Source organism: Homo sapiens, chromosome 1 (genome assembly GCF_000001405.40).
Source record: "Homo sapiens chromosome 1, GRCh38.p14 Primary Assembly".
NCBI lineage: Eukaryota > Metazoa > Chordata > Mammalia > Primates > Hominidae > Homo > Homo sapiens.
This window is the reverse complement of record NC_000001.11, coordinates 71046506-71061226: the sequence shown is the minus strand read 5'-3', so window position 1 is coordinate 71061226 and position 14721 is coordinate 71046506. Positions and strand designations below refer to the sequence as shown.

Here is a 14721-nt window from a genome sequence, read left to right as displayed (position 1 = left end):
CAGTAAACATTTAATGGTTTTTTTTTTTCCCCTCAGCCACATCGAACTACCTGGCTGCTTGAATAAGGGTGTTGTAATATTACACACAGATATAAATAATAAACATGTAGTAATAGTTCTTAAATATTTGTTTAGCAAAATAAAAGGTGCTGGGATAAGAAAAATGTTAACATTAACTTGGTAAATTTGAAATACTTCAATGCAGATTAAAAGGTATCTAAAAAGATTTTGAGGAAAGCTACACAATTTTTTTCAAAGAAAAATACCTAAATTTGAAGCTAAAAATGCATAGGACAACTCCTCCCCTTAACCTCAATTTAGTGCGAGAAAAGCTCTTATAAAATACAGTTGTACTTAAGTGTCTGTGGGGAATTGGTTCCAGGATCACCCACAGATAACAAAATTTCAAGGGTGCTCGCGTTCCTTATGTAAAACAGCATGGTATTTGCATGTAACCTATGTATATCCTCTCATATACTTTAAATCATCTCTAGAGTAACCCTAATACAGTGCCATACATTACTTCACGTAGATTCAGCATAACACCATGTGGCAAATTCAAGTATTGTCTTTGGGACTTTATAGGGTTTTCTTTTCCCCTGAATATTTTTAATTTGCAGTTGTTGAATCCATGGATGCTGGATACAGAACTCATGAATATAGAGGGCCTGTTCTTCAGGTTAGAGATAAAGCCTCCAATAAAATAGGAACAGTTTTGCCCGAATAAAGAGGCAAACTCTTAATGAGTTGACTTGCAGTCTTGAAGGACAAATTTATAGATGAATAAGGCAAGCTAAGGTTATTCTCTTTGCAACACTGAAGATTTGACGTTTTTAGGGAACTAAAAATACCATGGCTGTGGGAAACCTCGGAGAAGGACAGGGAACTTCGTAATAATGCTGTTGGAATTAAACTGGACCACAGTGAATACTGACTACAGAATATTGATAATTTGAATAGCTAAGTGTTGAACACAGAACAGTGGGATTTTGCACCTACCCTAAAATGAAACATCTGTGACCTGTTATTGGTGAGGTTATCACAAAGGCTAAGTACCTCCAACCTAAAAGTAATAGGAACTAAAGTTTACTTTAATGGGTGTGATGCAGTGGTAGAGTTGTGACTGATATTTGGTTACTATCTGGTTCTTCCACTGACTTCAATTTAGTTAATGGTAACTGAGTGACTCGAGACATTCTTTATGCCTAAGTTGTTAACACCTATAAAATGAAAATGACCGTTTCTACCTTGTGGGAATTATTATAAATAATGTAGCATATATGTATGCAGCAAATATTGGCAGTTTTTATCCCTTCTCCATGTTTACAGATATTTCTCATATATACACACACATGCACATATATATGTGTATATATGTTTATATATACATATATTTGTTTATACATATATATGTTTATATATACATATATTTGTTTATACATATATATGTTTATATATACATTATATATATAATAATATATATGTATATATATATGCATGTGTGTGTATATATTCTCAGATGCCTATTTCCCACTTACTCTTTCTAGAGCACCAGATCCATGTATCTAGCTGCCTCCTGTGTATCTCCCTTTATTTTTTTTCTTTTTGTCACGATGAGTCTTGCGGTGTTGCACAGGCTGGTCTCGAATTCCTGGACTCAAGCAGTCTTCCTGTCTTGGCCTCCCAAAGTGCTAGGATTATAGGTGTGAGCCACTACGCCTGGCCTGTATCTCCCTTCACATGTCAGACAGCCAATTTTACTGTATTTAAATTCTTCCTAAATCCTCTATTCACCAAACCTGTATCTCATGTTGTATTTCATATTGATAAACATCATTATCAGTACTTGATAATCCTCTTAGATTTCCTTTTTGTGAACACTACCACTGCTTTGATTTGTGGGCTAGGATATTGTAGTTTCTTCCTAAATGGTCATTTGGCATTTAGTAGGATTTCAGTAATATTTGCTAAATGAATTTTTTTCACCAAGCATTGATCACTTCATCACTGATGCTAGAATGCTCTTAACTAACGAGCATTTCATTTCATGTTATTTCTTTGTTTAAACCCTTTCAGTGCCTTTTCATGGCTTTCAGAATTCAACTACAATCCTTATGCATATAGTAAAAAGTTCAGGGGTTTTTTCCAGGACTCACACTACCCCCACCTCCCAATTCTAACCTACTTAGGTGCACAGAACCTATACACTAGCTACGTTAACTATGCTGAACTACTAATAGGCTTTCATCTTAGTACAAGTTTCTTATACCTGGGATACCCTACACATACCCCACTACCATTTCTTTTTTCATTTAGCTTTCATGACTCAATTCAGAACACTAGGATGCCATCCCTGATGCCTCTTCCCTTTCAATGGGAATTGGGTGAAACTCCTAAAAGTTTCTCCTTCCCCAGTATCCCTCTCCCTTAGCATAGTGTTTGTCATTATAGCAAGCACTCAAATGTTTGATGAGGGTCAATATCTGTTACCTTTCTCAAAGAGGTTTTGATCAGTTGTATTTTTTCCTCATTACTGATAGAATAAATGTTCTTCGCTGGAAAGCATTCTTTGATTGTGAAAGGAGTTTTTATTCTGAAATTAAAGCTTTGTAAGACCATTGTAGGAGAAACTTTTCTTTTTTCTTTTTAAATATTTATTTTAGAGACAGGTCTCACTATGTTGGCCAGGCTGGTCTTAAACTCCTAACCTTAAGTGATCCTCCTCCAGCCTCCCAAAGTGCGGGGATTATAGGCATGAACCACCATGCCCAGCTTTTTTCTGTTTCTTAAGTCCAAGGAGGCCATTTCTTCATAAGCTGAAAAAACTTTGAAGTTATCTGTCCAGCCATCCTTCAGGAGAGGGTAGAACATGTAAATAAACCTTATTGTCCTCAATTTTCTACTTAAAGTATGCCAACTTATATTTTATTACACACAACTAAGATAGGTTGAGAAAGAGCAGCCTCACTGGCATACATTTTGAAATTAGATTATTTGTATATCACCAAGGACAGAAGCACAAAAAATTACTATGCTGGAAGTAAGACTTGGGGTCAACTATTGGCTTTCTTCCTAACATGCTGTGTGATCCTCTGCAAAAATATTAACCTAAGGGACTTCACTATGGATTGGTAAATTGAGTTCCCTATAAATGTATGATCCTGAAGTAAGTGCATTGGGGTGCATCATTGGCAAAATAAGCAACAAATCAAAAAGTAATTTACCTAACTTGGAGGAGCAGATGATAGAGTTCAAAATGCTTTGTTAGGTTAAAATACTACGAACAGGCATATCATGTACTAGGTAGAACCGAATTTTATAAGTATAGTTAAAAAGCTTTCAAACAAGAAAATATAAAATACATTATTGCTTGATAACTAGACCAGTAGATTTTTACTGATAAATTGTTTGGACATTTATTTTGGCTTATATACATAACACTAACTGTAAATGAGCTATTTCTGTGAAAACACCTAAAAGTCAAAACTAAAATGGAAGTGTTCAGTTTGGATGAAGCAAATCCAGTTAATTATGGTCTATCCTCGTATTAACTCTTAGTGACACTGTTACCTCTAATCTAGCTGTTGACTGTGAACCTGTCAAAAATGTTGCTTTTTCAGCAATTATTTCCATGTATCAAAATTCTGATCAGGGAAAACAAGTTATCTGTATTCTTATAATTTGAATAATGTATTAGAGCCTAAGAATTTTAATGTGGTATCAGCAACTGTGACACAAGATTGTGTTGCCCTATATCACACTCACAATTATGTCTCCTGTTCCTTATTATTGATTCCTTAGAATCACAAAAAGGGAAAGGTTAAGGAGAATGTAGTTAATTCTACCAGAAGAAACTACCTCAGTATTCTCAGGCTGCACCCATAGTACCTGTGGCACTAAAATCTTAGGATAGAAGAGTGCTAAGAAGGAAGAAAGAATAATAAAAATAATGTTTTGTGTTTTTTCCTCATATTAGTGATAATGAAAATGTGTTTAAATTCAGGCCTCCCATAAAGTATTGCGTATCATAAAGTCTAAGGCAGGTACCTGACCGTGAAAAACTACATTTTGAAGCACTGATGACTGATAAGAGAGACACAAAATGTTTAACCTGTAATTTTGGTGAAGCCATTGGAAATTAGCAAACCTACACTATGTTTTCTCTACATTTGGAGACTATTCATCTGTTAATGTAGATGCAAAAGAAAGTCTTATTCAAGGACTCCAAAGACATATTTAACACAATATTAAACATTGAACCTGCATTTTAAGCACCACTGCATTCTGGTATCATTGCTTAGTGCCCTTTTGATTATATTTGCTGGGGCTATTTGAATCAGTATGATCTATTTTTGTAAAATCCTTAATTTTTTTAATTAGAGGATAAGTTAGCACGGGCCTTTTAGAGGGTAATTTGAGAGTATCTGAAAAATTAGAGTATTCACAGTATGAACATTTAAACATACTAATGAATTACGTTACTGCATGCTAGGTAGTGAACTAACGTGAGATACCTTGATTGAAGCAAGGAGAACAATTCCGATTGCTACTGTGAAGGATATAAAAGGGGTTGGTGTATAAAACTACTCTTAGGACAGTAAGTATAAGACCTTGGGGTCAGGCAAATTGTACTTGGTAACTGAATTTTTAAGAGTTCAGTGCCGCGGGGCTAAGTCTGCTCCTGGATATGATGAGAAGCCAGTAAATGGCTTGGGAAAAAAATGGTCTAAGACAGAGTTGTAGAGTTAGAGGACCTGTCATACAAACCTTGTAAGCCATAGAAGGGAATTTACATGGTATGCGAAGAACAGTTGGAAAATAGTAAACAGTTTGAAGTGACCTAGTTTTAATACAAATTGGCCACTGCTTGGAGAATAGATCAGAAAGAACCCTACTGGATGGGAAGGGAATAGTAAGAAGTCTTACTTAAGCAAATTAAAGTTATTACAAATTTATATGATCAAAACACTAAATTTTAGGGTAACTACATGACAGACCAATAGTGTTTTAAGAAGTTTAAAATGTGGAAATTCAAAAGTGGAAGTAGGTAATTTGAGCTGTTGTGAGATTCATTCCTCAGTAAATGGTAAAAGTACTATTTAAGTAGACTCTAATAAATCATGGAACCATATTTTAATCTCCATAACCACTAAGAATAATAAAGGTATAACAAGTAGTGGGGAAAAAGGGAGTAATGAAAATGATTAATACAAATTAGTTTTTTAAGAGGTAAAGAATGACAAAACAGCAAGCCAGTTAAACTCTCGTACCTAGAGGTGGATTATACACCAATTAATCCAGAGTATCAGACAGGGTTAAGATAAATTGACAAAGCCAATTGTGTATTTGTAATATGTATTTTCAGTTTGGAAATAAGAGAATGGGGAAAGTAAAAGTTTGGAATTAAACATCCCCATGGGTCAGCAAATAGTGGGATTTTTTTTTGAATGAAAATACAATTTATCAGGCCGGGTGCTGTGGCTCACGCCTGTAATCCCAGCACTTTGAGAGGCGAGGCGGATGGATCACGAGGTCAGGAGATGAAGACCATCGTGGCTAACACGGTGAAACCCCGTCTCTACTAAAAACACAAAAAAGCCAGGCGTGGTGGCACGCGCTGTAGTCCCAGCTGCTCGGGAGGCTGAGGCAAGAGAATCCCTTGAACCCGGGAGGCGGAGATTTCAGTGAGCCGAGGTCGCACCATTGCACTCCAGCCTCTGTGACAGAGCGAGACTCTGCCTCAAAAAATAAAAAAAGAAAGAAAAAAGAAAATACAATTTGTCAACACCTGTGAGATTGAGCTAAAGCAGTGCTTGGAGTTGTGTAACTTTGAAAGCCTACATTAGAGAAAATTAAGTCAATTAAACTTTCAAGAATACAGGAAAATACTGGCAGATCAAACGTAATTCAGAGAAAAAAAGAGCAGAGGACTTCTGCTTCAGGCCAAGATTTACCCTTCAACCTGTAACAAACTAGACAAAATGTATCAAGCAGCATTTTTCAGTACATTGAATGTAAGGCTGTGGAGAAGTACCTGAGAAAGGAAAACAAGGTGAGTCCTATTAATGCTTCCCAGACTGGCCAGATTTTCTCACAGCAGCCAGCCCTATCTCACATGTATTAATGTTATAATTTCACATACTCTATAATGCTATCCTTTGATTAGCGTTTAGTTTGATGGGAACTCCAAACCATTAAAGAAAATTCAGGCCAGCCGTGGTGGCGCCGTGCCTGTGGACCCAGCTACTCAGGAGGCTGAAATGGGAGGATGGCTCAAACCCGAGCAGTCAAGTGAGCCGTTATTGTGCCACTGCACTCCAGCCTGGGCTGTAACAGAGCAAGACCCCCATCTCTAAAGCAGAAAAGAAAAAAAAAAAATCATAGCAGGTGCTACATTTGCACTGAGAAGAATCCACAAGCAGAGATGTTTGTGAGAACAGTGGTGTCTTCAGCAGCATCAGTTCCCGCAGACTCGAGTGAATTGGGCTCCGGCATGTGCACCACGTGGGGTCCAGAGTGCCTGGCCCCAGAACAGCCGCTGAGTGCAGGGACCCTAAGGACAGGGGTGGGGGTCTGGGTGACAAGGCCGGAGGAGTCCCTGGCACCCCTCACCCACCCCGCGGGACACCCCAGTTGACACCGTGTGCCAGCAAAGTTGGGACCTGATGGTTTTGGGAACGTAGGTCATTGAAAGTGGCCTGCAGCACACAGCCTGTAGGGAGCAGGCAAGGAGGGTCCTTGTCCATCTACCTCCTGAGGCTGTCCTTCCCGTGGCCATGCCACCTAGGCAGGAGTGCGTAGGACTTGCCTGGCTGGAACCCACCCTTGAAAACCGCCTGAGGAGGTGCCAGAGTGTGGCTGCGGGCTCCAGACCACGTCGGCTCCACCTGCCCGGAACCCAGCTGCCACTAGCGCTGGCTGGGAACACAGGCTTGCTGTCTTCTCCGGGTCTTGGGAAACCTGTACTTCTTAAGACTCATTCAGGATCAGCATGTCCATCCCAAGGACTTCTTCAGGAAAGGCACTCCCTCCCCACTAAAAGAACGTTCCTCAAAGCAATTTGAGAAGCGCAGCCCATCCGCCTCCAGCTGGGTGGCCGCAGACACATCAGGCTCCGGCCTCCCTGTATTTTCATGCCCCACAGTGAAAAACGTGGGCATTTCTTTCCAGTTATGTCCTTAGCCAAATGCGGAGCTTTTCTGCCCAGGATGGGCAAAATTCTAGCACTGGCAGGGGTGCAACCCAAGGGGTGGCCGGGGTTCTCACTGCCCTTGGCCATGGGGCAGGCTGGTCTAGACAGCAGGGGGATGTTTTCAGGGTTGGAGTTTCCCCCCACCTAGTCCTGAACCTATTGGGTCATGGAGCACCTGTGTTCCCATGAGGCCAGTGTGGGCCACACATGACTTCAAACGGCCCTTGAGGCTTGATTAAGTGTGCCAGTTTCATTCCAAACATGCTGCTCTAAAGCATCCCTGCTGAGCCACAGGAGGATCAGATACTGTGAGCTTCTGGCCTGTTGATACTCAAGAGCCAGGGCATGCGGGGAAGACTCCAGAAGTCCTAACTCTTGCTAACCTTACATCTGGGATTCTTCCACCCTCAGCTGAAGAACTTGATGAATTTCAACTTTGAAGAGATTCTTCTAACACTTGGCCATTTCAACCAGGCTTTGCTAAAGTCCTCTGAAATTGGGGGACTGAAAGCCAATTACTTAGATCACAGGTTGCCTGTGAAATCTGCAAGGACCTGCTGTCAGGGCTCATTAAACCCCAAAGTATGGCCCCTTTGGCATGTGGACTACTCTGACCCAGAGGAGACTGGAAGATCTCAGAAGCCTAGCCTTTGTCCTTCCCTCCTGGTTCCTGTGCCCTTTTCTCCCACAAAGTGAGTCACAGAAACCAGAATTTGTTTTCCCCAAGGCAGGTCATAGAAACTAGAACTCCTCTCTCCCAAACATAGCCATAAAACCTAGCAAGGTCACTCTGTCCCTTCTCCCTGGAAAACCCCTCATTCCCGAGGGGTCCTGCCCCATACCCAGGGGAAGGGGAATTGTACAAAGCAACCTTGTTGGGTTTCCCCACTCCGTCCATCACTGTTAGGCCACGTTAGCGTGGGTGACAGAGTGAGACTGTCTCTTTAAAACAAATAAAACAATAGAATTTCTGTGCCTACTAACTAAAAGAGATAATCACACGTTGTTCAATACAACAACAGCAACAACAAAGCTGTAGGAGTACTTGCAGTAATGATAGAGGAGAAAAGATGTCACAAGGAAAAATCCTCTTTTAATCTCAGAGGTTTATAGTTTTAACAGGTACATTTAAGTCTATTATCTATTTTGTTTTGTGGTGTAAGGTCTATGTTCATTTTTATATCCATACAGCTATCTAGTTTTTCCAGCACCACTTGTTAAAAAGACTGTTCTCCTGAATCACCTTAACACTTTTGACAAAAATCTGTTGAATGTCTGCATATGTGTACACATATCTATATCTCTATATGTGTATATATGATGCTCTCTATAATACTCTCTTTCATTGATCTATAGATCAGTGTCTTAGTTTGTTTTGTGCTACTATAACAGTACTACATCTGGGTAATTTATAAAGAATATAAATTTATTTCTCAATGTTTTGGATGTTGGGGATGTTCAAAAGCAAGGCGCCATCATCTGGTCTCTGGTGAAGGCCTTCTTGCCCTGTCCTCACATGTCAGGATGACAAGAAAGGGACCAAACTCCCTCTGTCAAGCCCTTTTGTAAGAGCAGCTAATCCCATTCCCTCAAGAGATGTCCTCATAGCCCAACCACCTCTTAAAGGCGTCACCTCTTAATACCATCATAGTAGCCATTAAGTTTCAACACGAATTTTGGAGAAGACACATTCAAACCATAGCATGCCTATCTTTATGCCAGTATCACGCTGCCCTGCATATAACAATAGTAAAATATAGTTAAATTTGTAAAAACAAGTATTTGAATTTTATTAAACTATTGCATTGGAAGGCATTCAAAAGCATACAGAAATCATAGAAGAGAAAAAAAGACCTGCAAATGAAAGGAGTAAAAATTATGACTTACTGGTTTTTGGGATCGAGGATCCTGCCCATTCTTCATGACTATGGCTATGGGAAATACTGGTAGAAAAAAAAAAATCATAGCCTTACTGGCAAAAAGTTCCAGAGACTGGAGTTAAGGCTTGAAAAGCCACTGCAAATTTAAGTAGGAAATCTTGGTAATGAGAACCAGAGAAGAAATGAGATAGAACTACCCAAATTCATGTCTCACAGCAAACTCTGCATGAGTGAAGGAGACCACATGAAGCCTGAGGAAAAAGCAAGCAAAGACCAGATAGAAATCTAGTCCCAGCACTTTGGGAGGTCAAAGTGGGAGGATCATGATGTTAGGAAATCGAGACCATCCTGGCTAACATGGTGAAACCCTGTCTCTACTAAAAATACAAAAAATTAGCCAGGCGTGGTGGTGGGCGCCTGTAGTCCCAGCTACTTGGGAGGCTGAGGCAGGAGAATGGCGAGAATCTGGGAAGCGGCGCTTGCAGTGAGCCAAGATTGCACCACTGCATCCAACCTGGATGACAGAGTGAGACTCCGTCTAAAAAAAAAAAAAAAAAAAAAAAAAAACAAAACACACACAAAAACCATTATTCAAGAATACATCTACTTTGATTACTTTGATGCTTTACTTAAGGGGATGTATTCCTCCCTGTGCTGTGTGTACTTTGGGTGGGAGAAAGCTGAAGCTTCAGAAACTTTAAATGTCAGGGAATAGCCCTAAGCTGGCAGAGTAGCTGCAAATAAGAGGAGAATCCCTAGAATCAAGGAACCCACACAGAAGGTGATCTCCATTGCTAACTGACCAGCAAATTACACAGGCATAGGGAAATCAATCTCTAGGAAGCCAAGCTAAAAGAGCATGGAAAACCATGAGAATGAAGCAGAGATACCAAGAGCAGCATGCCCCATGGGAGGCAATATTGGCAGTTTGAATCCGGACAAGTTAACTGTCAAACAGAGCAAACAAACATAAAATAGATAATACTCAGGGAAAAAAACCCGGTAGACTCCAGAGTCATTACAATATATTACAATGTCCAGTTTTCAATTAAAAAAAACAGGCATGTAAAGAATAGGAAGAAAAGACAGCAGAAAAGGCATTCATAGAAAGGGACTCTTTGATCTAGCAAAGACTTCTAGGCATTGCTTTTATTTTGATACAGTAATTACATTGATTGATGTTTAAATGTTAAGTCTACATTGCACTGTACTTCCATGACAATCATTCTGAGAAGACAAAAGCCATGGGATCAGTGTTTCTCCTGTTATTTGGCACTTAGAATCAGTAATTTTGCACTAAAATATAAACCCCATGAATATAGGCACTGTTATGTATTGCTTTTGTATCCCTAATGACTGAAACAGTGTCTGACATAGATTGGGTGCTCAATGAATGGTTATTGAATGAATGAATGACTAAAATATAAACTAAAATTACTGGTTGGCTCCATGAAGAAAGACTTTCAGATATTTTCCATCCATAGTGAGGCAATCAAAGGCTGATCATGTGACTCATTATTAATCTTATTTTGTATCCATATTTAAGATTTTTAAATAGATGTTTAATAGAAGTAAATAGCAAAATAAATTCATCATCACTAGCTAAATATTGACATACATTATACATTTTAAGCTGTAGGGTACAATTAAGTAATCTGTGAATTTAAAACATGTCCAGGTTAGAATTTCATTGAAAACATAATAGGTGAATATATACTTTAAATTAAAAAAAAATGAATATCTGGTCTTTCAGTTTAATCCTCTACTGGTTTATTGACTGTTAAACAAAGTTGCCAATTTGTAACCTCAAAGGAAAACAAAGTGACCACAATTATGTACTGATAAGTAGATCTCTAGGAAAGAAATCAGAGATTCCCTAAGCAAAGCATCCATTGGCCCTATGGAAATTCTCTTTAAAACAGCATAAAGCATGTTATTAGCCTTTTGGTCACTAGAGGGTGGTGTTGTTTCAGACCAACACAATTCACACTATATCCGTAGTAACTGACCAGAAAGTACCAACCAGAATCCAACTGCCAGCTTCACACTGTTACTCCACAAAACCTCACAGTCACTTGTTTACAAGGTGAATAGCTAAAGGCAGACAATATAGGATGAAGCAAAGTGCTGAAAGAAGAGAAATACCCAAATTATCTGAAATGCAACACATTTTGTTCATTGGCATAGAGGTTAGTGAGAGGCTAACAATTCTTTACTAATACATGCCCCGACGCTTACCATGCTTATCAAGTCCAATTGGCTACAGCAAGCACTTCAGTGGGAGAAGTAAAAGTTTCAAAGAAGTCAAATATTTGTGAATAAAAATGAGAATAGTTTTTGATGTAACTGGAAAAAGATAAGCCTTGCTTCCTTTGCTGTGTGAATGGTGATATGGTCTTAAATTTTAAATATTGAATTACACTAGAATTTTACTAACTATAGATGGTATAAACTTGATAGCCACTTTCATCCAAATGCTTTGGATAAAGCTTTGTCTAAGAATAACCTCAAATATTATTTTATTTTCAAATGATATTAGGCTAGAAAAATACTATCCCAAATACAGGTTTGAGATTAATTCAAAATAATAAGACAAAAGTTTACGGAAGATTTTAGAATCAAACCATTTCACCCTTCCTAGCTGTTGTTCCCATTGTAAACGTGACATTTTAGTCAGTAAAACGCAAAAGTGCAAAACATTTTTAAATGACAGCAAAACACAAAATGAAATTCATGTTGTGATTAATGCATCTTATTAAAATGGAGTTTAAGTTGCATTCTTGCTTTTCCTTCTTTAAAAAACATATAATGTTATAGTGATATTTTTTCAAACTCTCATACAGAATCAAGACAACAGCACATAAAGTATGCAGAGGGACATATCCCATTCTTACCTCTTAACAGTAATTTAAAAGTTAAGAACACCCATACAGAACATCAGCTAAGCTAGGAAAGGCAAAACTGATTGGGCTTGTTCTGAAAGTTGATCTGTGTCAATCAAAATAATGGTCTTTAGAGTGCTATATGATTAAGTCTAATTTCTTAAATATGAGGAAAAATGAACTTTGCAATTATTTTTAAAAATCTTTTCATCTCTTAGACAGTGTAAAAAGGCAAAAAGCAAAAAACACAAGACTTTCCCAAGATTAGGGGAAGATGATCTCACCGTTAATATTCATCTGCTGAGAGCAGTTATGGGACCCATGTCAGGAATACATGCTTCAAATAAGATGGGACTTGAGAATTGCTGAGAGACTTCAGGAACATTCTTTAACTTCATGGGGCCTCAGTTACCCCACCTTTAAGGGAAATAATAATAGCAATAGTACCTTGGAGGATTTCTGTGATAAAATGAGAAAATGCTTGTGAGAAGTACATAAAATATTGGCTTACTGAAAGATGTTACGAGGCAAGCAAGTATGCCTATTTTCATTCAATGTTTATTATTTCAAAGGCAAAGTTTCCATATAGATTAAGGCCTTCATAACATCTGAATACCTTTTCTAGTTCTTATTGTATGAAGATAAGAAGGATGGTTGGAGGCTTTGTAAGGAATACCTTTCTCTTCTGCTCCCCTCTCACTCCCATAGGCTGGGAGCAGTTGATTTCACTACCTCAGATATGCAAATTGATGCCACCTTCCTGTAGCCACTTTTGCCATAGCTGACCTTTTTGTTGGGTGGTGGGGAGGGGAGCGGGCAGGATTAGGCGAGGGGTAGTAGTTGGGATTTCTTGGTCTTGGAATTCAACCATCCGATGTATTTGTTTCCCTGTGTCTATTCCCTTAAGTCTACAGGCACTGTCTAGTAATTTTATAGTTTTCAGCGGCACCCCAGGGGACAGGACACCTTGGCCTTTTTATAATCACTCTAGAGTCACAAAGCAGAAAGGAAAAAAGTTAACGATCAGCTATGCAAAGGCTTGTGTGGATTGCTTAAGGACAGGCGATTTTCACTTTACCAGAGTTACTAAAGGACTTCAGGAGAAGGATCCCGTCCCTGTAGGAGCGTTTGTGGTTGAAGAAGCAGGAGGACGAGCGCTCAGGTGCGCCTCGGCAGTTTGCCTGGGGTCCGCAAGTCCAGTGCTACTTATTAGCTGCTTGCCGTCCACCGACACTTTAGCGGAGAACTGGAGGAGACCCCAGTGGGCTCCCGGTCCGGCCAGGAGCAGGGCGTTTCAGAGGAGACCGTCTGGGGCTTCCCAACCCAGGCGATCAGGATAGGCAACAGCCAAGAGAGGCGCTCAGTTGCTTTGCACCCTCCTCCCACCTCGGTTCTGTCCACACCCACGGGCGCCCCGCCCCCTCGGCCTTATAAAGGGGACTCGGCACCTCCGCGCGCCTCGCCACCAGAGGTTTCCCAGAGAGGAAGGCGTGGCTCCCTCCCGGGCCAGTGAGCCCTGGCGCCGCCGCGGCCGCGGTCCCAGCAGCGGAGTAGGGCGGCGGCTGCGCCCCGCACCATGGGGGGCAGCCCAGCCCCAGCCGCGGTAAACGCCGACCTCCGCCGCCGCCCGCGCCGCGTCTGCCCCCTCCCGCTGCGGCTCTCTGGACGCCATCCCCTCCTCACCTCGAAGCCAACATGAAGGAGACCCGGGGCTACGGAGGGGATGCCCCCTTCTGCACCCGCCTCAACCACTCCTACACAGGCATGTGGGCGCCCGAGCGTTCCGCCGAGGCGCGGGGCAACCTCACGCGCCCTCCAGGGTCTGGCGAGGATTGCGGATCGGTGTCCGTGGCCTTCCCGATCACCATGCTGCTCACTGGTTTCGTGGGCAACGCACTGGCCATGCTGCTCGTGTCGCGCAGCTACCGGCGCCGGGAGAGCAAGCGCAAGAAGTCCTTCCTGCTGTGCATCGGCTGGCTGGCGCTCACCGACCTGGTCGGGCAGCTTCTCACCACCCCGGTCGTCATCGTCGTGTACCTGTCCAAGCAGCGTTGGGAGCACATCGACCCGTCGGGGCGGCTCTGCACCTTTTTCGGGCTGACCATGACTGTTTTCGGGCTCTCCTCGTTGTTCATCGCCAGCGCCATGGCCGTCGAGCGGGCGCTGGCCATCAGGGCGCCGCACTGGTATGCGAGCCACATGAAGACGCGTGCCACCCGCGCTGTGCTGCTCGGCGTGTGGCTGGCCGTGCTCGCCTTCGCCCTGCTGCCGGTGCTGGGCGTGGGCCAGTACACCGTCCAGTGGCCCGGGACGTGGTGCTTCATCAGCACCGGGCGAGGGGGCAACGGGACTAGCTCTTCGCATAACTGGGGCAACCTTTTCTTCGCCTCTGCCTTTGCCTTCCTGGGGCTCTTGGCGCTGACAGTCACCTTTTCCTGCAACCTGGCCACCATTAAGGCCCTGGTGTCCCGCTGCCGGGCCAAGGCCACGGCATCTCAGTCCAGTGCCCAGTGGGGCCGCATCACGACCGAGACGGCCATTCAGCTTATGGGGATCATGTGCGTGCTGTCGGTCTGCTGGTCTCCGCTCCTGGTAGGTAGTTCCAGGGTTGGGGGAAGTCAGGATGCGTGTGCGAGTAAGCGGGAACCTAAGACTTTGCTAAGTGGCAGCACCCGCAGGGGTGTGTTTGCAACCGCAGAGCGCTGAAGTGTCCTTTCCTCCTGCCCGCGCGGTCTTGGTTACAGCTTCAGAGCTGAGCTCCTCACTT

General features: G+C 41.9%; 1 protein-coding gene and 1 long non-coding RNA gene across 13 annotated transcripts in view, besides 1 other annotated feature; one reads left to right on the top strand and one right to left on the bottom strand.

Moving 5' to 3' along the window:
* The window catches only part of ZRANB2-AS1 (ZRANB2 antisense RNA 1), a 20679-nt gene extending 5958 nt beyond the window's left edge, over nt 1-14721 (bottom strand). The window contains exons 1-2 of the long non-coding RNA NR_038420.1: nt 13638-14721; nt 12239-12413 (exon numbers count right to left, since the gene is read on the bottom strand). This is a non-coding gene — a long non-coding RNA (ZRANB2 antisense RNA 1). The remainder of the gene's footprint in view (nt 1-12238; nt 12414-13637) is intronic.
* PTGER3 (prostaglandin E receptor 3) overlaps nt 13411-14721 on the top strand; it is a 195459-nt gene continuing 194148 nt past the window's right edge. For all 12 annotated transcript variants that reach the window (NR_028293.2, XR_946714.3, NR_028294.2 and 9 more), the window contains exon 1: nt 13411-14546. Coding sequence is in view for 8 of the 12 variants with exons in the window: in NM_198717.2 (NP_942010.1) it covers nt 13650-14546 (897 nt within the window). In the remaining 4 variants the exon portion in view is untranslated. The remainder of the gene's footprint in view (nt 14547-14721) is intronic.
* Nucleotides 13414-13997: an enhancer, noted in NCBI's record as "H3K27ac-H3K4me1 hESC enhancer chr1:71512913-71513496 (GRCh37/hg19 assembly coordinates)". NCBI's record gives its function as "activates a minimal SCP1, AML or CMV promoter by ChIP-STARR-seq in naive H9 embryonic stem cells {active_cell/tissue: H9 hESC(naive)}" and the evidence as "EXISTENCE:reporter gene assay evidence [ECO:0000049][PMID:30033119]".